Source organism: Homo sapiens, chromosome 4 (genome assembly GCF_000001405.40).
Source record: "Homo sapiens chromosome 4, GRCh38.p14 Primary Assembly".
NCBI classification, from domain to species: Eukaryota; Metazoa; Chordata; class Mammalia; order Primates; family Hominidae; genus Homo; species Homo sapiens.
In genome coordinates, this window is record NC_000004.12 from 125564334 (window position 1) to 125591223 (window position 26890).

At 36.5% G+C, this 26890-nt stretch overlaps 1 annotated feature.

Moving 5' to 3' along the window:
- Positions 2533-3197: an enhancer, noted in NCBI's record as "OCT4-NANOG-H3K27ac hESC enhancer chr4:126488021-126488685 (GRCh37/hg19 assembly coordinates)". NCBI's record gives its function as "activates a minimal SCP1, AML or CMV promoter by ChIP-STARR-seq in naive and primed H9 embryonic stem cells {active_cell/tissue: H9 hESC(naive and primed)}" and the evidence as "EXISTENCE:reporter gene assay evidence [ECO:0000049][PMID:30033119]".

Below are 26890 nucleotides of genomic sequence, written 5' to 3' on the forward strand. Positions count from 1 at the left end.
TAACAGGCTTTAATATTTTTAAAGCGTGCTGCAGGATGGGATACTGGCATTGAGTGGGGTAAGGGTGATTAGGTTTTAATGAGATGGTAAGGGGTGCATGATCGGTCGCCAAGGAGGGAGTAAAGGTATCTTATACTTGTGGGTTAAGGTGGGGGGATACAAGAGGAGGACACAAAGGAGGCTTTGGATTGGGAAGAAGGGCGACAATGAGATATAGCTGTAGTCCAGGAATAGTCAGGGAAGCAGATAATTTAGTTAAAGTGTCTCAGCCTAATAAGGGAACTGGCAGGTGGGGATAACCAAAAAGGAGTGCTTAAAAAAGTATTGTCTAAGTTGGCACCAGAGTTGGGGAGTTTTAAGAGGTTTAGAAGCCTGGCCGTCAAGTCAATACCCACAACAGTTATGGAGGCAAGGGAAACAGACCCTTGAAAAGAAGGTAATTGGAGTGGGTAGCCTCTGTATTGATTAAGAAGGGGACGGGCTTACCCTCCACTGTGAGAGTTACCCGAAGCTCGGCGTCCGTGATGGTCTAGGGGGCTTCCGAGGTGATCGGGCAGTGTCAGTCTTCAGCCGCTAAGCCAAGAAGATCTGGGAAGGAGTCAGTCAGAGAGCCTTGGGCCAGAGTTCCAGGGGCTCTGGGAGTGGCTGCCAGGTGAGTTGAACAGTCCGATTTTCAGTGGGGTCCCACACAGATGGGACGCGGCTTAGGAGGAATCCCGGGCTGCGGGCATTCCTTGGCCCATTGGCCAGATTTACGGCACATGTAGCAAGCTCCTGTGCTAGGAGATTCTGGAGGAACGCCTGGCCGCTGCAGTTCAGGCATTTGGAAGTTCTTGTGTGCTGGAGATGTGGCTGGGGTTTGTCTCACAATGGAGGCAAGGAATTGCAACTTTTTTCTATTATTGTACATCTTGAAGGCAAGGTTAATTAAATCCTGTTGTGGGGTTTGAGGGCCGGAATTTAATTTTTGGAGTTTTATTTAATGTCGGGAGCAGATTGGGTAATAAAATGTATTTTAGAATAAGACGGCCTTTTGACCTTTTAGGGTCTAGGGCTGTAAAATGTCTCAGGGTTGCTGCCAAACAAGTCATGAACTGGGCTGGATTTTTATATTTGATGAAAAAGAGCCTAAATGCTATCTGATTTGGGATAAAGAAAAAGGAGTATTAACCTTGACTATGCCTTTAGCTCCAGCCACCTTTTTAAGAGTAAATTGCTGGGCAGGAGGGGGAGGGCTAGTCAGGGAACGAAATTGTAAGCCAGACCAGGTGTGAGGAGGGGAGGTGATAAAAAGATTATAGGGTGGAGGAGCAGAGGCTGAGGAAGAATTGGGACCTAGCTCGGCCTGGCAAGGAGCAGCCTGGGGAGGAAGGGAGAGGTCAGATGGGTCTGTAGAAAAGGAAGATTAGAAAGACTCAGTGATGCTTGGGGTTGGTACTGAGGGGACAGGCAGGAGGGAAAGAAGGAAGATTTGGGACGAGTTGCACTGCACACAGAGACTAGGAAGGGACTGATGTGTAAAAGAATGCCTGGACGTCAGGCACCTCAGACCGTTTGCCTATTTTACGACAAGAATTATTTAGATCTTGCAGGATGGAAAAATTCAAAGTGCCATTTTCTGGCTATTTGGAACTACTGTCGAGTTTGTACTGGGGTCAAGCGGCATTGCAGAAGAAAATAAGGCATTTAGGTTTTAGGTCAGGTGTGAGTTGAAGAGGTTTTAAGTTTTTGAGAACACAGGCAAAGGGGGTAGAAGGAGGAATGGAGGGTGGAAGTTTGCCTATAGTGAAGGAAGCAAGCCTAGAGAAAAGAGAGAGTAGAGAAATGGAGGGAAGGAGTTCGGGGGTTCTTACCTTCCAGAAAAGTGGGAAAAGGGGTTGGGGCACAGAGATAAGAGGTCGGGGTGCAGAAATAAGGGATGGGGCACAGAAATAAGGGGTAGGGGCATGGAAATAAGGGGTAGGGGCACAGAAATAAGGGGTCGGGGCACGGAAATAAGGGATTGGGGCACAGAGATATAAGAGGTTGGGGTGCAGAAATAAGGGATTGGGGCACAGAGATACAAGGTTGGGGTACTTGCCCCTCCTCTAGAAAAGCGGGACTTGCCGCCAAGAGTGAAGGAGAAGGGGTTGAGGGGTACTTGCCCCTCCCCCAGAAAAGCAGAGAAGGGGTAGAGACAAGGAGAGAAGGGGTTGGGGTACTTGCCCCTTTCCCAGAAAAGCGGGACTTGCCGCTAAGGGTGAAGGACCAAGGCAGGCGTCCCTGCGTGGTCTGACACCTTTGAAACGTGGGTGAATAATCAGAGAGGCATCCCTGCAATAATTAAACACCAAGGGAAGGCTGCCTTCCCAGTCCATGACCGGCACCGGAGTTCTGTGTCCACGGATAAAATGTGTCTCCTTTGTCTCTCCCAGAAAATGAAAGGAATTGAAATTAAGAGAAGGGAGAGATTGAAGAGTGGAAAGGAGAAAGTGGTTGAGGGACAGTGAGAGAGGTTGGAGAAGAGAGTAAGAAGAGGCTGCTTACCTGATTTAAAATTGGTGAGATGTTCCTTGGGCTGGTCGGTCTGAGGACCTGAGGTCGTAGGTGGATCTTTCTCACGGAGCAAAGAACAGGAGGACAGGGGATTGATCTCCCAAGGGAGGTTCCCCGATCCAACTCACGGCACCAAATTTCATGCGCGTCTGTGTGAAGAGACCACCAAACAGGCTTTGTGTGAGCAATAAAGCTTTTAATCACCTGGGTGCAGGTGGGCTGAGTCCGAAAAGAGAGTCAGCAAAGGGAGATAGGGGTGGGGCCGTTTTATAGGATTTGGGTAGGTAAAGGAAAATTACAGTCAAAGGGGGGTTGTTCTCTGGCGGGCAGGAGTGGGGGTCGCAAGGTGCTCAGTGGGGGTGCTTTTTGAGCCAGGATGAGCCAGGAAAAGGACTTTCACAAGGTAATGTCATCAGTTAAGGCAAGGACCGGCCATTTACACTTCTTTTGTGGTGGAATGTCATCAGTTAAGGTGGGGCAGGGCATATTCACTTCTTTTGTGATTCTTCAGTTACTTCAGGCCATCTGGGCGTATACGTGCCAGTCACAGGGGATGCGATGGCTTGGCTTGGGCTCAGAGGCCAAACATGTGGATTTGTTTCTGGGTTCTGTATTCTGTTCCATGGGTGAATATGTCTGTTTTTCTTGAGACAGAGTCTCTCTCTGTTGCCCAGGCTGGAGTGCAGTGGCACGATCTTGGCTCACTGCAACCTCTGCCTCGCAGGTTCAAGCGATTCTCCTGCCTCAGCCCCCTGAGTAGCTGAGATTACAGGTGTGCACCACCATGCCTGGCTAATTTTTGTATTTTTAGTAGAGACAGGGTTTCACCATGTTTGACAGGCTGGTCTCGAACTCCTGACCTTGTGATCCACCTGCCTTGGCCTCCCAAAGTGCTGGGATTACAGGTGTGAGCCACTGTGCCTGGCCAATATGTCTGTTTTTATGCCAGTGTCATGTTGATTTGGTTACAATCTCTGTAGTATACTACAAGCTCTGTAGTATTATTTATTACAGTCTCTGTAGTATACAGTATTACAATCTCTGTAGTATACCACAAGCTCTGTAGTATAATTTGAAGTCAGATAATGTGATTCCTCCAGTTTTGCTCTTTTTGATTAGGATAGCTTTGGTTATGCTGGAGAGTGTGTTTGTGTGTGTGTGATTCCATATAAACTTAAGACTTGTTTTTTCTATTACTGTGAAAAATGTCATTGGTATTTTGACAGGGATTGCATTGAATCTGCAGGTTGCTTTGGGTAGTATAGACATTTTAACAATATTGATTCTTCCAATACCTGAACATGGAATCTTTTTCAAATTTTTGATGTTCTCTTCAATTTATATCATCAGTGTTTTATTGTTTTCATCACAGAGTTCTTTCACTTCTTTGGTAAAGTTAATTCCATTACAGAATTGTTTCACTTCTTTGGTAAAGTTAATTCCTAGGTATTTAATTTTATTTGTTGCTATTGTAAATGGGATTACGTTTTTATTTCCTTTTCAGATAGTTCACTGTTAACATGTAGAAATACTACTGATTTTTGGTTGTTGATTTTGTAGTCTGCAACTTTACTGAATTTGCTTATCAGTTCTAATAGTTTTCGTATAGAGTCATTAGGTTTTTCCAAATATAAAGATCATATCATCTGCAAACAAAGGTACTTTGATTTCTTCCTTTCCAATTTGGATGCCTTCTATTTCTTTCTCTTTTCTGATTGCTCTAGCAAGGACTTCTAGTACTATGTTGAATAACAGTGGTGAAACTGGGCATCCTTGTTGTGTTCCAGATCTCAGAGGAAAGGCTTGCAGTTTTTCCTCATTCAGTATGATACTAGCTATAGGTCTCTCATATATGGCTTTTATTATGTTGAGATATGTTCCTTTTATACCAAATTTTTTGAGTTTTGTTTCCATGAAAAGATGTTGAATGTTGTCAAGTGCTTTTTCAGCATCAATTGAAATGATCATATGGTTTTTGTCCTTCATTCTGTTCATATGATGTATCACATTGATTGATTTGCATATAGTGAACCATCCTTGCATCCCTGGGATGAATTTCACTTGGTCATGATTAATGATCTTTTCAATATCTTGTTGAATTTAGTTTGCTAGTATTTTGTTTAAGATTTTTACATCAATATTCATCCAATATACTAGCAGGTAGTTTTATTTTTCTTTTCTTTTTGTGTGTATTTGTCTCGTTTTGGTATCAGGTTAATACTGGCCTTGTAAAATGAATTTTGAAGCATTCCCTCTTGTTCTGTCTTTCAGAATAACCCGAGTATGATTAGTATTAGTTCTTTGTTGAAAATTTGGTAGAATTCAACAGCAAAGCCATTGGATCCCGGGCTTTTCTTTACTGGGAAACATTTTATTTGTTACAACTTTGATATAGATAGTTGTTATTGGTCTGTTCAAGTTTTGGATTTCTTCCTATTTCAATCTTATAAGCTTTTCTGTGTCTCGAAATTTGTTCATTTATTCTGTATCTTTCAATTTTTGGCATACAGTTGCTCATAGTAGCCACTAATAATCCTTTGAATTTCTGCAGTATCAGTTGTAATGTCTCCTTTTTCATCTTTGATTTTATTTATTTGGATCTTCTCTTTTTTTTCCTTAGTCTGGGTAAAGATTTTTTCAATTTTGTTTAACTTAAAAAAGAAAAACTTTTGTCTGATTGATCTTTTATATTATTTTCTTCCTTTCAATTTTATTTATTTCTGCTCTGATCTTTATTATTTTCTTCTACTAAATTTTGATTTGGGCTGGGTGCAGTATCTCACACCTGTAACCCCAGCACTTTGGGAGGCCAATGCTGGAGTATCACTTGAGCTGAGGAATTTGAGACCAGCCTGGCCAACACAGGGAGACCCTGTTTCTACCAAAAAAAAAACACAAAAAACAAAAAAAACAACAGGACATGTTTGAACACACCTGTTGTCCCAGCTACTTGGGAGGCTGAGGCCCACTTGAGACTAGGATATCAAGGCTGCAGTGAGCCATAATTGGATCACTGCATTCCAGCCTGTGCAACAGAGTGAGCCTCTATCTCAAAAAAAAAAAAAAAAATGTGTTTGGTTTGCTCTTGCCATTCTACTTTTTAAAGATGTATTGTTCTATTGGTCTATATCTCTGTTTTGGTATCAGTACCTGCTGTTTTGGTTACTGTAGCCTTGTAGTATAGTTTGAAGTCAGGCAGCATGATGCCACCAGCTTTGTTCTTTTGGCTTAGGATTGTCTTGGCAATGCAGTCTCTTTTTTGGTTTCATATGAATTTTAAATGAGCTTTTTCCAATTCTGTGAAGAAAGTCATTGGTAGCTTGATGGAGGTGGCATTGAATCTATAAATTACCTTGGGCTGTATGGCTGTTTTCACAATATTGATCCTTGCTATCCATGAGCATGGAATGTTCTTCCATTTGTTTGTGTCCTCTTTTATTTCATTGAGCAATGGTGTGTAGTTCTCCTTGAAGAGGTCCTTCACATCCCTTACAAGTTGGATTCCTAGGTATTTAATTCTCTTTGAAGCAATTGTGAATGGGAGTTTACTCATGATTTGGCTCTCTGTTTGTCTGTTATTGGTGTATAGGAATGCTTGTGATTTTTGCACATTGATTTTGTATCCTGAGACTTTGCTGAAGTTGCTTATCAGCTTAAGAAGATTTTGAGCTGAGACAGTGGGGTTTTCTAGATATACAATAATGTCATCTGCAAACAGGGACAATTTGACTTCCTCTTTTCCTAATTGAATAAGCTTTATTTCTTTCTGCCCCAGCCAGAACTTTAAACACCGTGTTGAATAGGAGTGGTGAGACAGGGCATCCCTGTCTTGCACCAGTTTTCAAAGAGAATGCTTCCAGTTTTTGCCCATTCAGTATGATATTGGCTCTGGGTTGGTCATAAATAGCTCTTATTATTTTGGGATACATCCCATCAATACCTAATTTATTGAGAGTTTTTAGCATGAAGGGCTGTTGAATTTTGTCGAAGGCCTTTCCTGCATCTATTGAGATAATCATGTGGTTTTTGTCTTTGGTTATGTTTATGATGGATTACGTTCATTGATTTGCATATATTGAACCAGCCTTGCATCCCAGGGATGAAGCCAACTTGATTGTGTTGGATAAGCTTTTTGATGTGCTGCTGGATTCGGTTTGCCAGTATTTTATTGAGGATTTTTGCATCAGTACCACACATCTACAACCATCTGATCTTTGACAAACCTGAAAAACAAGAAATGGCAAAAGGATTCCCAACTTAATAAATTGTGCTGGGAAAACTGGCTAGCCATATGTAGAAACCTGAAACTGGGTCCCTTCCTTACACCTTACAGAAAAATTAATTCAAGATGGATTAAAGACTTAAATATTAGACCTAAAATCATAAAAACCCTAGAAGAAAACCTAGGCAATACCATTCAGGATGTAGGCATGGGCGAGGACTTCATGACTAAAACACCAAAAGCAATGGCAACAAAAGCAAAAATTGACAAATGGGATCTAATTAAATTAAAGAGCTTTGGCACAGCAAAAGAAACTACCATCAGAGTGAACAGGCAACCTACAGAATGGGAGAAAATTTTTACAATCTACACATCTGACAGAGGGCTAATATCCAGGATCTACAAAGAACTTAAACAAATTTACAAGAAAAAATCAAACAATCCCATCAAAAAGTGGGTGAAGGATATGAACAGACACTTCTCAAAAGAAGACATTTATGCAGCCAAAAGACACATGAAAAAATGCTCATCATCACTGGCCATCAGAGAAATGCAAATCAAAACTACAATGAGATACCATCTCACACCAGTTAGAATGGTGATCATTAAAAAGTCAGGAAACAACAGGTGCTGGAGAGGATGTGGAGAAATAGGAACACTTTTACACTGTTGGTGGGAGTGTAAACTAGTTCAACCCTTGTGGAAGACAGTGTGGTGATTCCTCAGGGATCTAGAACTAGAAATACCATTTGACCCAGCCATCACATTACTGGGTATATACCCAAAGGATTATAAATCATGCTGCTATAAAGACACATGCACACGTATATTTATTGTGGCACTATTCACAATAGCAAAGACCTGGAACCAACCCAAATGTCCATCAATGATAGACTGGATTAAGAAAATGTGGCACATATACACCATGGAATACTATGCAGCCATAAAAAAAGATGAGTTCGTGTCCTTTGTAGGGACATGGATGAAGCTGGAAACCATCATTCTGAACAAAGTATCACAAGGACAAAAAACCAAACACTCCATGTTGTCACTCATAGGTGGGAATTGAACAATGAGAACACTTGGACACAGTGTCCTCACTGTGACATCACACACCGGTGCCTGTCATGGGGTAGAGGGAGGGGGGAGGGATTGCATTAGTAGATATACCTAATGTAAAGGATGAGTTAATGGGTGCAGCACACCAACATGGCACATGTATACATATGTAACAAATCTGCACGTTGTGCACATGAATCCTAGAACTTAAAGTATAATTAAAAAAGAAAAGATGCATTGTTGTTTATTTCTAGTTTCTCTTCTTTTTTGATGTAAGTGCTTATAGCTATAAACTCCCCTCTTAGGACTGGTTTTGCTGTATCCCATAAAGTTTAATATGTTCTTTCTATTATCATTTATTTTAATAAATTTTTCAGTTTCCTCTTTATTTATTGACTCACTGGTCATTCAGGAGCATGTTGTTTGATTTGCATGTATTTGTGTAATTTTCCAAATTCCTCTTGTTATTAATTTATAGTTTTCTTCCATTGTGGTCAGAGAATATGCTTGATGTTATTTTAGTTACTTGGAATGTTTTAAGGGCTTGTTTTCTGACCCAAGATATGGTCTGTCTTTGAGAATGACTTACGTGCTGAGGGAAAGAATGTGTATCATGCATCCATTGGATGGAGCTGGGAGTAGAGTGACACAAACAACCTCACGGCTACCATTACTAGGAATGTGCTGGGTCAGACCTGAAGCTGGTACAGCACTCGGTGTCAACTAAGGCCTGATGTAACCACTTCCTGGCTACTACCTATGTTTGCTCAAGGCCCCAGGGCTCTACAGTCAGCAGATGGCAAGCCAACCAGGCCTGTGTCCTTCATTTTAGGGTAGTGAGTTCCCCAAGCCCCAGGCAGGTCCAGATTGCCATCCAGGAGTCAGGGACTGGAGTTAAAAACTTAGAAGTCTACCTGGTGTTCTACTGTACTGTGGTTGAGCTGATACTGAAATGACCAGATGCAGTCCTTCCCCCTTTTTCCTCCCCTTTCCAAAGGCAGAGTGTAAGGTTAGCCGAGAGAAGGAACGAGTAGACCCCAAAGTCAGGCAAGCAAGTTTGTATTAACCTGCCGGGCTGCTCCACTGTAAACAGAGGAGGCAGCCCCGCTTACAGGCTGCTGTGGGGTTTTATAGGGCAAGGGGCTACGCTGGGGTAGGGGAAACTGAGTAGGGTTGCAGATGTTTCAGCCGTTTCCTGGAAATGTTTTTGCCTGCTTGGCTAGGCAAGCTCAGCTAGGCAAGGTGGGCAGATGTCTTAACCGCATCCTGGAACTGTTTACCAGTTCTACTGAAAGTCTTGCACAAGACTGTAGGAAAGGTGAGGGGAGGTTGTTTGTAGGTGGTCACAAATTACTGTATTGCGAAGGACATGGAGGAGGAGGAGGCGTAGCCTGGATCTCTAACACAGAGGAGCCTCTTCCTGTGGCCACTGCCACCACAGTCTCATGAGGAGTACTGCCAGACTACCACTGATGTTCTCTTAAGTTCCAAGGGCTCTTCAGTCAGCTTGTAGTAAATTCTGCCTGGCCTTGGACTCATCCTTCAGAGAAGTAAGCTCCCCTCTGGTTCAGGGAGGGTCTAGAAATGCTGTCCAAGATCCAAGTCCTGGAATGGTCTGAGCTGGTACCTAAGATGCAAGACAAAGTCTCCCTTACTTTTCCCTCCACTGTTCTTAAGCAGAAGATATGTTGTCCCATAGTCAAGACAGCTGAGAATGTAGTGAGTCTTACCTGAAGCCAGCAAGTTTCAGAATCACACCCAGGGCCCTTGAGGTACTACCTGGGCATTATTGCTGCTTATTCAGGGTGCAAAGGCTATTCAGTTAGGAGGTAATAAATCCTGACAGGGTTGACTCCTTCCCTTCAAGGCAGCAGGTTCCATTCTAGCTCAGGGTGTGTCTAGAAATGTCATCTAGGAGCTAGGGCCTGGAAAGGGGGCCTCAAACTCTTACTGGTGCCCTATCTCGCTGTGGCTGAGCTTGTATCCAAGATGTAAGGCAAAGTCCTCCCCATTCTTCCTTCTTCTCTCCTCAAGCATAGGGAAGGTGTCTCTGTCAGAGAAGCGAGCTATGCAGTCTGGGGTTAGGAGAGGGATAATGCCAGCACTCTCTTAGCTGCCCTGGATGGTGTCTCAGTAGGTTATAAGCTCCCCCAGTCCACTGGCTCTTGGCCCAGTTCAGCACTGGGGCTCACCTATGAGTTGCAGTTTTTGTAGCCTAGACTGCTTTTCAAGTTTAGTTTGGATCCAGAGCACTTTAGCCAACAATAGCAAGGCTTGTGGGAACTCAAGTTTGGACCTTTGGGACTGGCAATTCCCTTCTGGCTAGGGCTGGTTTAAGTGTTCCCTCTGTGTTTGAGTGTTAGCTGAGTTTGATCCTGTTTTGTTTTTCGCTATAACAGGGTGGCACTGAGTTCAATGCCTGACAATTGCTGTACTCTCCCTCTCCCCAGCACAAAAAAACCACTCTTCTCACCGTGCCACTGTTGCTGGGGAATGGGGGATTCAAGACCGTTGTTGATTCAAGACTGATCCTCTGACCTCTTCAGTGCCTCTTTCAGTGATAAAAAGTTAAAACCAGGTACTATGAATTTTGGTTTTTATGAGGTGCATTTATAAAGATAGTTGTTAAATTGATGTCCTTTATGGAGGGATGATCTGTAGAGCCTTCTATTCCCCTATTCTGTTCCATCCCAACTGATCATCTTTATAGTTACATGGAAATATGTATTTATTTCACAAAATTTCTGAAAGTTTATTCAAAACAAAAACTAAGAATTTACTATTTTTTAATAAAAAACTGTAATTAAAGTATAAATGCAGCCTCTAAATAATTAAGAAATGTATAACACAATTATTCATAATCATATTGGTGTTATCTATGATCATAATAGTCCAGTTATAATATTTTCATTTCAATTAAATCATTGATAAGAAATTCTTATAACCAGACCGAACTTCTTGAGAAACAACCATGTTTGCTTTCCTTCAAGACCTATCATAGTATCACACTCATAGTTGGCACTCAATAAATGTTTAGTAGAAAGTAACAGTGCATGTTGATGGGAATGTAAATTAGTACAACCACTATGGAGAACACTGTGGATGTTTCTCAAAAACTAAAAATAGTGCTACCATATGATCCAGCAATCCCACTGCTAGGTATATACCCAAAAGAAAGGAAATCAGGATATCAAAGAGATATCTGCACTCCCATAACTATTGCTGCACTATTCACAATAGCCAAGATTTAGAAGCAACCTAAGTGTCTATCAACAGATGAATGGATAAAGAAATGTGGTACATATATACAATGGAATATTATCCAGCCATAAAAAGAATGAGATCCTGTCATCTGCAACAACATGGATAGAAGTGGAGGTCATGTCAAGTGAAATAAGCCAAGCACAGAAAGACTAAGTTCACATTTCTCACTTATTTGTGTGAGTTTAAAATTTAAAATAATTGAACTCATAGAGAGATTGAGTAGAAGGAGGATTACTAGAGTCTGGAAAGGGCAGTGAGGGGGGTTAATGGGTACAAAAAGTGGTTAGAATGAATGAATAAGATCTATACAGCATATGACTATAGTCAATAATTTAATTGTACATTTAAAAATAACTAAAAGGTTTTTTTTCATTGGATTGTTTGTAACACAGGGATAAATGCTCAAAGTAATGGATATGCCAATACCCTGATGGAATTATTACATATTGTATACCTGTATCAAAATATCTCATGTACCTCATAAATATACATACCCACTATGTACCTACCAAAATTAAAAAGTAAGTAAATAAGTAAAATAAACAGTGTAGAGAAGAAGAAAAAAATAGACATAAAGAAAAGAGGCATGTAGTGAACATTCGAGTAGCAACCAGAAGGTTTTTATGCCAAATGCCAAGATCAGTAAGATATTATATATAGATGGTGTTTGAATCTAATTTACAATTTATTCTGGAAGAAAAGGCCAGTCAGGCAGTAAAACCATAATTTAGTTTTTTTAACATCGTGACAGAATTGATGGTCTAGTGAGCCTTTAAAATACTTTTAATAATAAAACTAGTTCTTGGCTTTTCTTTCATTGTATACAATTTTGATTTATTGAGCTGACTTCTACAGTTCTAAGTAGAAAACTTTATGAACAGAACTATTGCCTTTGGCATTTATATTCTCTTCTGGTAACAGGTGCTTTTATTTCATTGCAAAAGAACACAGTTTTCCCTATAAATCAATACAGCATTTTTTCATTCTTTGTTACCATCTCAGCTTCTGGGTTTACTACATTCTATTGGATTATACTCAGCACAGATGCCAAACATTTATAGTATTGGTGAATCAGTTCATAGCATTTTTTTTTCTTAATGAGGTAAATACAGTCCATATTCTGTTTTCAAACTGACAGTGTAAGTAATCTCACATGACTTATCAAAGGCCTTGCATCTTTAACAAGTTTTCAATTTCATTTAAGAGAACCAGATTCTTTTAATATGCTTCTTCATTGACTTAAATTACTACATATCTTTGTGAAACTAATTTATTATTCTTATGAATAAATGAGAGAAATTAATTGAGTATGACATATCTAGTTTAATTGCTTTGGAGACATCTATTTTAGATTAATTAAACCATGCTTAACATGTTGTAGTAGTAACTGTGACATTCATGGAAAATTCCTTTATTCTTAGAAACATTAATACTTTGAGCTTTAATCAGAAGAAATCTTAATACCGAGTGATAGAACTGGGAAATAAAATCTCCAGCCTTATAAGTTAAAGAGCTGTGCTCTTTTATTTTATAATAATAATATATGATATTTATTGATGGTAATATGATATATGCCTCTGGGACTTATAAGGCACAATGATGCTTCATATAGCTTATTGGAAAGTATTATTTTAGCCAGGCACAGTGGCTCACACCTGTAATCCCAGCACTTTGGGAGGCCGAGGCAGGTGGATCACCCGAGGTCAGGAGTTCGAGACCAGCCTGACTAACATGGTGAAACCCCATCTCTACTAAAAATACAAAAATTAGCCGGGCTTGGTGGTGCATGCCTGTAATCCCAGCTACTGGGGAGGCTGAGGCAGGAGAATCGCTTGAACCTGGGAGACGGAGGTTGTGGTGAGCCAAGATCACACCATTGCACTCCAGCAAAACTCCATCTCAAAAAAAAAAAGAAAAAATAAAAGAAAGAAAGTATTGTTTTAACTTACTTCTAAATAACATTATACTTGGAAAATGCAGTTATTAAAAGAAGAATATATACTTGAGAAAACCACTTTGATTTCACATTTACAATAAAGTGACCTAAAAAAGACTTTTGTAATGTAATATATGGTGTCACCATCAGTGACTCTCCCTACTGCTTTCCAATCATTTTCTCTTCATTGTTTATGTAGAAAATAATGATATTGTCTATAGCGCACATATGGTAAACTGACAAAGCTACTGCTTGAAGTGGAAGGGGAGGAGCTCTTTTGTTTCCCAAGAAAAACCATACTCAGCATGAATGGGATATTCTACTCTCTAAAATACAAACTCAAGTTGAGTATAACTATGTTTTAAGGCAATTCTCCAAAAAACATTATAAGCAAATAATATTTGTTAAGTATATGCAAAGTATGCATCATTTTCACAGGTCATCTGACTTAAGAGTTTCATTATGGTTTCTTTCTCTTGTTCTCTTACAATTCATATTTCTTTCTATCACTATCTAGGTCTTCTGATGTTCACTATTTTCCTTACTTTGTATTGTCTCCAGGATTCTCATATTCCTTGAGCTCAGGTGCAGCATTTTGTTTTTATTCATGTAAACCTTGGCAAAATCGTCTATGGCATACTGCACTATGATTTGTGAAGTTGTATATGTATTAGGCTTATCAAACAGCTGAGATATATAAAAAAATAAGAGATTTTAATGATCATGACCCATGACATGTAAATATGTCTATTTCTATTTGATCATCACTCACATACCTATCGATTATCACTTAAATTTACTAAGGTTTTCTAATCGGTGGAATTCTTTAGCTACTACTAAAACTTGTAGTCTTTAAATAGATTCAAAAGAAAGAGTAGAGACATGAAAAATCCATTTATTATTATTTTAGTGTATTTTTGAAACTTTAAAAATAATTTTGGGACAAATTTTTATATATATAAAATAATTTTAAAATCCAAAATTTTGCTCAAGGTACTTTATTTTACTTAATAAATAACTCAAAATTGATTGCCTACAATTTAGTACACAAATTCAGTCTCAAGAGGAATCCCTCAACAATTTTTGCAAGTAAAACTTACCATTTATATTTAGCCCATATTACTAAGGATATTTAATATTTTTCCTGCAGAAACCGACTTGCAGCTTTTTACACACACGCAGACACACACACACCCCATATACACACACATAAAATAATTTTTGTATAAAAATAATTGTATGAGGACAGGGAAACATGTATAGTATTGTTTCTTGAAGTATTCTTCAGAGTTGCTCTATAAAACTGTAAAAAAAATTCATCAATATTGTGAGGCTTGGATAAATTATGGCTAATTCACATCATGACATTTTACACAACCAACAAAAAAGAAGAAAATTTAATCTGACAACTTGAAGTGATTTTCATGCTTTATATTAAGTAAGTAAAACAAGATACAGTAAATGTGTATAATGTTTTTATTTATGTAAAATTAACTAATGACAAAACAGTCTATATAGGTATGTGTGATTATAAAAGATTGAACTAGAATATGGAATAATATTAATATATAATAGGTTGCCCCTGAGGGTTACCAGGTGGAGCAGGAATAAAATGAGGGGGAAATTAAGAGGGAAAAGGGGGATAAACTGAACTTTAAAACACATGATTGAAGATAATTGTAAGACAAACTTCAGGCTGGCAGAAAATATTTGCAAAAGCCATGTATAATACAGGACCATCATACAAAATGTACAAAGAACTTTTTAAAATTTAACAATAAGAAAATGAACAACTTAATTTAAAAATGGACAAAATAGCTAAACAGTACACTCACCAAAGAAGATCCATAGATGGCAAATAAGTATATGAAAAGATGATCCACATCATATGTGCTATGGACTGAATTGTGTCCCCCCAAAAATTCATATGTTGAAATCCTAACTTCCGATGTTACTGCATTTGGAGAAAGGATCTTTAGGACTGGTGCCTTTAAGGAGATAATTAAGTTAAATGAGGTCATAAGAATGAGGCTCTAATCTGATAAAACTGGTTTTCTAATAAGAAAACCAATGTACACAGAGAAAAGCTCATGTGGGGACACAATGAGAAGGCAGCTGTCTGCAAGTCAGAAAATGGAGCATTACCAAAACTCATCTCTACTGGCATCTTAATCATGGACTTTCAGCCTTCAGACTGTAAGAAAATAAATATCTGTTGTTTAAGCTACCCAGTCTATGTTATCTTGTTGTGGCAGACCTAGTAGTCTAATACAATATATCATCAGGAAATTTTAAATTAAAACGATTTTAATTTTTTAAAAGAGATACCACTATACAACTATCAAAATGGTCAAAATCCAAAACACTGACAACATCAAATGCTGGTGAGGATGTGGAGCAATGGGAGCTCATTCATTTTTGATGGAAATGTAGAATGGTATAGCCACATTAAAAGATCATTTGGTAGTTTATTTTAAAACTAAATGTGTTGCCATATTCCAGCAATTATACTTCTTGGTATTTACTCAAATGAGTTGAAGACATATGTCTATATAAAAACCTGCACGCAGTGCTTATAGCAGTTTTATTCATAATTTCCCATATTTGGAAGCAAGAAGATATCCTTCAGGAGGTAAATGGATAAGTACATTGTAGTAGACACAGAAAATGGAATATCATTCAGTGCTAAAGAGAAATGAGCTATCAAGCCGTGAAAAGACATGATGGAAACTCAATGGCACTAAGTGAATAAAATGGTTACATACTGTATAATTCCAACTATATGACATAATGGAAAAGGCCAAACTATGGAAACAGTAAAATGATCAGTGGTTCCCAGGGTTTGGAGGGAGGGAAGGATGAATAGGTAGTGTGCAGAGGATTTGTTGGGCAATGAACCTATTCAGTATGATACTATGATGTTGGATACATGGTCATCATATGTTTGTTAAAAACCATAGAATGCCTGGGAGCAGTGGCTCATGCCTGTAATCCCAGCACTTTGGGAGGCCAAGGTGGGTGGATCACATGAGGTCAGGAGTTCGAGACCAGGCTGGCCAACATGGCGAAACCCCATCTCTACTAAAAATACAAAAATTAGCCAGGCATGGTGGCGCCGGCCTATAATCCCAGCTACTCGGGAGGCTAAGGCAGGAGAATTGCTTGAACCCGGGAGGCAGAGGTTGCAGTGGGTCGAGATCACACCACTGCACTCCAGCCTGGGCGACAAAGACTCTGTGTTAATAAATACACACATACATACATACATACCATAGAATGTACACTACTGAGTGAACCCTAATGTAAACTATGGACTTGGGGTAATAATGATTATAGATTCAGTGACTGTAATAAATATACAATTCTGTTGTGTAATGTTCTCCATGTTTAAGGGCTGGGGGTATTTGAAAATCTCTAAACTTTCTACTCAATTTTGTTGTGAGCCTCAGAAAATTGCTCTAAAAATAGTGTATTGTAAAAAGAACATTGTTACATTTATGTATTTATTTGCCTGTTAAATAAAAAAAAAAAGAATCTCTAGTGCTTATGTATGTAGAAGTTACTTTTCCTATACTGGGTCTGCTTCCTACAAATTATTTTTTGTGATGACTACTAAGTTATTCCCTTTGTGGCTTAATAAGTTTCCTATTCTTCTCCGCTCTCTCTCTCCCTCTTTTCCTCATTCCTTCTATAAATATATATAAACTATCTCTATGTGTAGTTTTTTTCTTCCCACATTTTCAGTTTTCAGTTTTTCAGTAAATAAAAAACACTTGCTTTATTATTTCAGTCAGTGCCTTTACAATGCAATAGATTTTGAGTAAAAGATAATAAAAAAGGGATAGAGTAAAAATAATGAAAATTGAATGGGTATAAAATCTCTTCCTTTTTTTAAACAAAATAATTATTTTAAAACAAACCTGCAGTATTTCATTTATTTTTACATAAATAATTCATTAATAGTCAAATTAAAGTGTGAATACTGTCGTGTGTAAGCATTTTGTGAAAAATAATCTGTTTACTCACCTAATTGTATGGTTTGTATTTATTCTTTTTAAAAACACTAAAGACTGGTAGTTACTCATACTAGAGTGTTCTTTCTTAAAATGCCTTTTACTTACATTCAGTTTTATATAGTTGAGTTTATTATTACATAGGAAAATGTGCAGCATGGTAAGTAGTGTAAAAGAGATATTAATTGCTTCTAACTGGATCTGATAGAGAGATGATCTAATAGCAATGAAGTATTTAAAGAGATTGAGTTTGGGGCCCAATCTCAGGGTCACTGAAGACTGGGAGAATGTCAGGATCATTCATGTATTGTAATAGACTTATTTTCTGTTTTTCCTGTGTGTGTGTATGTATATATATATTAGCAATAACTTTTGAAAAAATACAGGCTCTGTATCTACTGGTTTTGGAACAAGTAGGCTTTTGTGGATTCTGGAAATCTAAGACAAATTGAGAAAAATCAGACAAAGAATAGAAGTGAGAATAGGGAGGAAGCAAAATGTTCTATGGATGTTGGCACTTGGAGGGAGAAGGCTGTGTTGCATAGACCAGGTGTGCATTGTGCTCAAGATGAGCAGGTGGAGGATGATATCCTGGAAATCAGGTAACAGGTATAGGGACCAAGAAATAACCCAGGGAAAAAAAGGTGGGAGACCCAGTTCCATAAGGAGCAGGATATTCCTATTGGAAACAGAAGCCAGAAAAAGATTGGGCCAAACACTATGCCTATGCTACCAGAAATAGTAACACTGGGAATTATTGTTCCAGTGTTTCTTAGATACTGCTCTGTCTGCCTCTTTCACATTTATCTGTTCTTTCTAGCCAGCTATAGAGTTTCTCTAGAATCCCAAATGGACTGGGAAGTCAGACCTGGCAGCTTCCATTCCTCTACCACTATCCTAAACTCCCACCCTCCAAGAGATGTCAGGAACATAAAAACATGAAACCTGATGCTGCCTGTGCAAGTTAAGTTCTGATTTCTGAATTTAGAGTGATAATGAAATGTTCCTGATGACCGTGATGATGATGAATAAGAAAAGAACAAACAAGACAAAATCTTAATGTTGGAAGGCTACTTGAAGTTAAAATTGTTTGTACAACTTCTGACTCTATTTGTTACATCCTAAGAGACAGCATTTGGCTGAACAAGGTTTATGGAATGTGTTAGTGAAGGAATATGCTATAGGGATAAGCTCATTTCCTGTCAATCAGGATGTGGCTTCTATTTCACTTGGAATTTATTGCTTTAGCATTATTCTAGAGCATCTTAAAAAGATCATGTATTTTTGTTTTTTTGTTTTGTTTTGTTTTTATATAAAACAGGGACAACATATACAACAACCCTAAAGGATGTTATCAAGAATCTGTCAACATTTAACTTATTTCAGTTTAGTGCAGATGAAATTTTTTTTTTTTTTTATGGAGGTCAAGTCTATTTACATCCTCTATCAACTGGTACTAGGTCTCTTTTTGAGAGTTATAAATAAATAATATATATATTTTTATTATTATTTATATATATTAATATATAAAACATATAAATAAATATAAATGATACCCTTTGCATATTTTTATTATATATATAAATAATATATATAAAAATATATAAATAAATATAAATGATACCCTTTTGCATATTTTAAACTTTCTTCCTATCATCCCTGCTATAAAACATACTGATCTTTAGTGTTTTTATGCTCCAATTCTGCTGCACACACACACATACATGCCCTTATTTACATGTGTGTTCCTTTCCAATCTAAGCATGGCAGAGGCTACCAACTATCCACTGGATTGTTCAACTGGAATAATATCAAGCTTATAGTCAACTAAGGCTCTGCCTCTGTTCTCCTTCTCCAGTTTTGCCTTTAAATAAACAAAGTTTTTCTCAACTAGATATACCATCTCTTTTGAGATGTGCCTGAACAAGCTGTTGTAAGCCTTACCTTATTTCACTTTATGACATTCTTGATTCTATTAATCAGTTACCTGGTGTTTAATTCTCCTGCTACAACACTAAGTATATAAAATGTCTCTTAGTCATAGATTTTATTTTCCCTTCCAGCTTGACCCTGAGTCTCTTTCCTGGCAAAACCAATTTGCTTGACTTAAAAAAAATGAAGTGTAGCTGGGTCCCTTATACTGTTTAAGTTTGAAAGATGTGTTCCCAAATTGTGGCAGAGGGATCCTATTGGTGATAACAGAATCCAAGTAGCTAGGAATTGTTTTTAAGTAAAATATTTCTTATGCTTTAGTGGAACATATGATGCTATGATGTGCCTCCAGAAAGAAGAACATAATATCATCCTAAAGTAGCCTTGAAATAAACAAACAAACAAACAATTCTTATTAAGCCTGTAGACCTGAATAGCAATAGAAAGGTAACACAGGGAGAAGAAACAGTGTATTGCGTGAAATTCAGCTAGTTAAAAACTCGAACGGAAAAACAAATAAATTGCAAGACAAAAGATATGGGCCAAAAATCTACACATTAAAAGCTGAAACACATTTACTGCACTTAAATTTGAAAATTTAAACAATGATTACGTATTTTATATTAAGAAATAATTTTTATTTTTGGTAATGGCATTGTGGTTACATTTTTAAAAAGAGTTCTTAACTTTTAGAAATCATAATTAAATATTTCAGATAAAAATATATGATTTCTGGGATTGACTTCAAAATAATCCATGAAGGGAGAATAGTGTGGGTAGAGATGGAGCAAGATCAAAAGTGAATTGACAATTGTTAAAGTTGTTTGATGAGTATATGGTAGTTCGTTACATTATTCAGTGTAATATTAAGTTGGTCTTTCATATAATAAAAATTACATAAATGTAAGATGTTTTTAAAAGACTCTTTTTGGATAAATATAAAAGCATGCATGCATACACACACACACACACACACACACACACATATACATAGGGATCACACAAGAAACTGGTTTTTTTGACTTTGAGTTATAAAGTACACTATTTCTACTTCTGAAGGATTCAAGCAATATTTGGAGAAAATTATTCTGAAAATAAAATGCAGTACTAGAGTTCTAGAACAAGTGCCGGAAAGTATAAAGTATGAGTTACATAAGGTCACTGTCTCTGACAAATTTATAATATAATGAAGGGGGCAGATAGCAGACATCCACAAAATAATGTGATTAGTGTTCTAATTAATGCAAATTAATTATGTGATGGAAACCAAAGAAAAATCATGTCCTATTCTGTCCAGTTGGATAGAGTATGAGATACATGGAGGAAAAGGTGAACCAAGAGGACAACAAAGTGAATTGACACTCGATTTTGAAAAATTTTGAATGAAGTGCCAAAAAATTTTGAATAATATAGGGAAGTCTGAATTCTATATTAGCAAATTATGTTAAAATTTGAATAAGCAAATTCCCTGAAAAATAATGTTAAAACTCATTTTTCTGGTGATATTGGTGGGCATTAATAGGAAAAGGAAGGATTTCGTTACCGGAGACTTGGTTGGAAGGCTAGTCCAAATACACAAACATGCATGCGTGCACACACACATACGATATAAATGTATTATTACTGGATTTTTACTTTTGGCCCTGGTATAGTGCTAGACATAGTAACAATTAAATAATGCATGTCTACTAGAAATTGGAAGGATAAGATCAACACCACTCTGTTGAAACTTCTCTGTGGAGTAATGAATTTGAAATTGAGAATTTTGATTTGTATATTACTGTAATCATACTACTGAGATTTGACAAATACGTGTCTTGAGTACTTTTCTGTGTGATTAAAATAAGGATACATAGAAACACTCTGTATGTTGTGAAATTGTAATTAATATTTTGCCAAATAAATCTCAAATGTTCTTTTTTAAACTAATAAGTAGTTTCATTTTATAAGAAAAATTCTCTTTAAGAAGAATTATTAGTTATCAATATTAGTTGAGTACAAGATAAGTCCCAGAAGCACAGATATTCCAAATTTCAGTGGTCACGCAAGATGAAAGTTTATTTCTCTCTTAGGTAACAAGTCAGTGGTCAGCAGACATCCGGGGCTGGTAGGTGGCTCTGTCATCCTTTTTACATGGTAAATGTGAGACTCAACATGGCTGTTCTACTTCTGGCATCTCCACATTAGTGAAAAGGGGTAAGAAACTTGCGGAGTGATGCCTAGTTGTTTCAGAACAGGACCTGGAAGTGATGTATATATTTTTAACTCATGTTCTCCCTCTTCCTAAAATGCAAATAGTGCTTATCATCTACCAGGCATAATTTTAAGCCTTTACAAGATTTTACAGATAAAAACAGGAAGCATGCAGCATGTGAGTGGCCATAACTAGTAGCAAAAAAAAAAAAAAAAAGTTAGGAAATGTACCCGTTAGTTTGGTGAACACCTGCTCATCTGAAATTCTTACTATAAAAGGAGAGAAGAATGAATATTGAGGAATCACTAGGAGTTCACTACATGGACTAAAACAATTTTATATGAAAAAACAAGTGAATAATGAGGTTGACAAAATGCCTTATTATAGTACTTAAATAAATAAAATAGAGCACCTGGTATGTGTAGTGATGGTTTACAAAATTTCTTTCTATTATTTTCTAAATTTAATCCTGGAATGTTCTATTGCATAAATAGATTATAGTTCATTGGAGCACAAAAATGGAGAAAAATAAATGGGGGACAACTATTTTTTCTCTAATACTAATTTTTCACTTTTTAAGATAAATCTAAATAACTCAATTCAATTCCCTTAAAATATTCATGCGTATTCAATTTCTTTCTCAAAATATTTTGAAAGAATCAAAATATAACAAAGCATATATTTTTCCTGTTTTAGGATTCAGCCAAATTCAGTGTCATGAGTTATTATAAAAACAGTCTTAAAGAAAAGTGCTCAAATGGTATTGTCAAATTTAAGAGTATAAAATAAAAATATCTCGGCTGAAATGAATGTAAATGTATATGGACTTTAAAATTAAAAAAACAATTAAAAGGCTTGCTTATAGTATACATTCTAGGAACTAAACTGCAAAACTCGTTTGATTGACTATGTCTGTGGCTTCAAAGCAGATAGACCAAGAGAAGGAAAAGAGAACTATCAAATTGCAAATAACTGCCAACTTTACAGCAGTGTCTATGAGAGGTTCTTTCTTAATTACCACCGCCTGTCCTGACATTGGGTGTACAAATTACTCAATATGTTAAACCACTCCTGCCTTTCAGCTAAATAGATATGAAACACATAGAAATGGAAACAAAGGCAGACTTTGAACTTTTGATACTTCATGTGAACCTCCATTTTAAATATACATTTCTCAGCTGTTAGTTCTCACTTCAGTTTCAGAACAATGTTTTTGACCTAACCTTCCTACCAAATCCTGTTATATGAAGCAAGTAAGTGTATTCCCCCTCGGGATCCTTGAAAAATGACTTAATTTGACAAAGAAATAATCTCTCTCTCTCACTCTCTCTTTTTTTTTTTTTTTTTTGACTATGGGCCAATGTCAAACCTGAAAAATGATACTGTACCCTTCCCAAAGCTAAATAACTGGAAAAGAGCTACTAAATAAACTACTTAGAGACATGCTAACATTGTTTTATGGTACTTTTGGCTGTCTAATTAGGTAGGTACAGTAAATCCTAGTGTGCAATATCAGCAACTATAATAATATAGATGTCTATTTTGGTTCACAAAATTAAGAAAAATTTGTTAATGCATCAAAAGTTGAATTTAGAATGTAACATAAATCTCAAATCAGTCTGGCATGTCTTGGCAAATAAAAATTATAAAATATAAAAAGCAAAATTGCTTTAATCAAAGTATTTGGATTTTTACTAGTATTTATTGTACAGTTTTTCTTTTTGCTATAACTAAAACAAATGTTTGTTATAGTCCATCTTCTTTTCAGATTCTAACTCATAAGAAAATAATTCTCCAGTTTTTATTTGTTTATTTCTCTTGGTAAGGAACATCACAAACAATTGATTTATATATTCAATTGACAGTACATACACATATATTTTTCCAGGAAGTTGACTTGGAGGTGAGGGGTAATGGTAGAGGAATGTTTTGTATTTGATCTATTTTCTGCTTATATACTGACATCAGAATTCATTTCCTTTTATATTATCTATTCACATCTCACCTTTGATTATTTTCACTGGAGATTAAAAAATGCCAATATCCAATGGGGGAAAGTCCTAAAACTAACTCAAACTGTAATGTACTGGATTTTTGTTTTTGCTTTTAATTGAATGCTACAAATCTTTATAGGTCATAAGCCCGTTTCAATGAGTTCTGAATGGTATATTTTTATGAAATAGAATTGAATGGTTAAAAAAAAAATCACCAAAGGGCCAGGTGTGGTGGCTCACGCCTGTAATCCCAGCACTTTGTGAGGCCAAGGCAGGCGGATCATTTGAGGTCAGGAGTTTAAGACCATCCTGACCGACATGGTGAAATTCTGTCTTTACTAAAAAAAAAAAAAAAGAAAAAAGAAAATTAGCCAGGTGTGGTGGTGCATGCCTGTAGTCCCAGCTACTCGGGAGGCTAAGGCAGGAGGATTGCTTGAACTGGGAGGCAGAGGTTGCAGTGAGCCGAGATCGTGCCATTGCACTCCAGCCTGGACAACAGAGTGAGACTCTGTCTCAAAAAAAAAAAAAAAAAAAAAAAATCAAATCAACAGAAACAGTGCATCACAGATAGTAAAATTAAATAGGGCTTTAGTAAAATTTTATTTCAGTTTGTGTGTGTGTGTGTGAGTGCACGTTTGTGTATGTACTGAGTAAAATGCATTTCTTTCTATAGGGAATAATCAAGGGTTTTATAAAACTAAACTATGTAAAAGTCAGAGGCCCCTCCCTACACTCAAGTTGCCCTCTTCTGATCTTAGCTGGTCCCTTTCCAGCCTGCCATGAAGGGTTGAAAGCTTCATATGTAAAATCTCTGCTCTGGTAACCTGGCAAAAGGAAAGGATACTGTTTTCTCTCAGAAGAATCACAGACCCGGCCTCCATTGCAGCCCAGGAAAACTGCTGCTGGATTCCATACCTGGATAAAGAAACCATAATAAATAAAGCAGCAGTTTCTACCAACTTTCCCTTAAAATTCCTATGAAAAATAATCAAAGTAAAAAAATTAATATCAAAAATTGATTCTGTTAAACAAAGTTACGGCAGAATCCAGGAGAGTTCTCCATTAACTATAAAGCAGATGGAGTTAAACAGAGAAAATCATGTCTTAGTTTTTAGCTCTTGTTAAAGAAACTGCCTGAAAGAAGGTAGAACTTCTCTTTGTAATTTGACCCATTTTTAAAGGAACTTAGTCTTAATCAGAGAACCTGGCAGCCATTTTCATGTTCTTTTTGAATGAGTCTTGACTTTTTTTTAAAGAAAGCCAGAGTAATTAACAATATTGACAGCTAACATTTAATAAACAAGTAATAAGTGCAATGGCCAGCACTTTATAGCAATTAGTATTGTCCTCATTTTGTCAATGAGGAAACTGGGCATAGGGAATTAGAGTAACTTGGCCAAAATCACATTGCTATTAAACTGACCCTTAGCTTGCATGTCAAATAACTACACTACACTGCTAGTGAATATTACCTTGAAAACGATCAACTAGAGTACTCAGAGTAAATTTCAGGAAAATATTTAATATTTTCAAAGGATTTCAAGAACTCTGTGAAATATAATCTATTGGCTAAAATGTGTTTTAATATTTTGAAAACCAAAGGTATTATATAAAATATCTTCAATAAACTAACAATCCTATGGAATCAAAACATTGTAAAGGGAGAATATCCAAGACAAAATGTCAATAGAATAAGATGAAAAAGAAAATGAATAAATGGAAGAGGTATTTAAGAAAATCTAAAGGCAAAGGAAATAGAATTAAAGTATAAACCAGTGGATGTGAAAGCGAGTTTTATTGAAAAACCTAAAATGTAGAACAAATGTCAAGTAGATTTAAACAATAAGATAGTATTTGATAGATCTGAAGAAAAAAAAAAAAAGCAGAGATACCAGATATTCTTGAAGCACAGATAACATGGGAGCAAAAAAGCTTGAAACAATAGAAGAAATCTTTCCTTGGCTGTTACCAAATCAACAAAAAAGGTAGGTCATATTTTAGGGAAAACTAAGGTGTAAAGACCTTTAACAAGATAAATGCTGGCAAACACTTTTAATCATGAGAAATAAGAAAACTATTATTGGAGCATATCAGCAGGAAAAACAGTTCTACTGAAAAGCAAAAAGCTTTCATTTACTTATCCTGTGCAACTTTAAATGACAGAGAACACTATGCTAGCATGCAGACAGTGCTTTGCAAAAAATAAAAAAAATGCGAGCTGAAAATTTTATATCAAACATTTAATTTATGAATGTAAACACGTATATCCTTAGCTATCCAAATCTGATTAAAAATATCACATATGGATCATTTTAAAATTACTTTATTTAAAACATTTGTAATTTCCCAAGAAAAATTAGAAGTGCAGGACCACTGAAGATCCTGTATTATCTCTTTAATAATTATATATATATATAATATACACACATACCTATATAATGTCCATAAAACATATTAAAAATATGAAACATATTTATTTTTAAACTTAGCACTTAATAGTATGTACATTTTAGTCAGGATATTATATTTCTATGCAGTTTTAAATCAATATGTTTGATTATATCATGTAAATATTCTATATTTCAAAAGAACATGGTAAAAAAATGCCCCAAAATATCAAGAATATTTATCTGTATAGCAACCCTATAGATATATTTTTCCACTTTTTTAGATATTCTAAATATCCTGTTGGGCATTATTTATGTCATAAAATGAGGAATTAAAGTATATTGATAAATCATTAGAAAGTAAGTTCTCTTTGTTCCACCCGCCTTCCAAAAGCTGCAATTTAGAGGGCTGACCAATGGTCACAGGCAGCTATTAACATAGTCCAAAGTGTAAAAGATGGAAAGCCTTACTCCCTTGCTTTTAACCTCAGTTAATAATTAGTCATAAAATAGTCCTGACTTTCCCTGCAATACTCCTTGGAAGAAGGTACAGAGGGGTGTGTGTGTGTGTGTGTGTGTGTGTGTGTGTGCATATCTCAGTGTAATATTATCTCTAGAATATAAACCTTATGAAGCAGGGATTTTTGTTCTGAGATGCATAAACCCAGATGTTTGTATTTTGTTCATTGATGTCCAAATATTTAGAACAGTGCCTGATATATATTAGATATTAAATAAGTATTTGTTGACTAAATAGAAATAATAAAGGGAAAAATACTTTAAGAGTAATGGTGTTTAATTTTTTTAGTACAATGCTGTTTCAAATGAAGTGTCTATGTACTATGAAAGTACTCTAAGTACAAATTCAATATATTTATGAATAGAAAAGAATACCTGTTATCAAATAAAATTTTTTTAGAAAGTTAATTGTGTAAAAAAGATTGAAAACAACAAAAGCTAAATGAAGTTGCTATAATTGACATAGAGTTGGAGAGGCAGAGGCCTACCTGCCCTGTTCTTTTCTTCCCCATGTGACTCTGTGGAGGATTCTAGAACACACTGAAACAAAGTTTCAAAGTCAGGGACACAGCTAAGACTATGACATAATTTTTACTTAATTAATAACAATTAATTGGGTACAGTTGTATTAGTCTGTTCTCACACTGCTACGAAGAAATACCTGAAACTGGGTAATTTATAAAGAAAAGATGTTTAATTGGCTCACGGTTATGCAGGCTGTACAGCAGTGGTCCCCACCTTTCTGACACCAGGGACCGGTTTTGTGGAAGACAATTTTTCAGGGATTGGGACAGGGATGGTTCCCAGATGATTCAAGCACATTACATTTATTGAG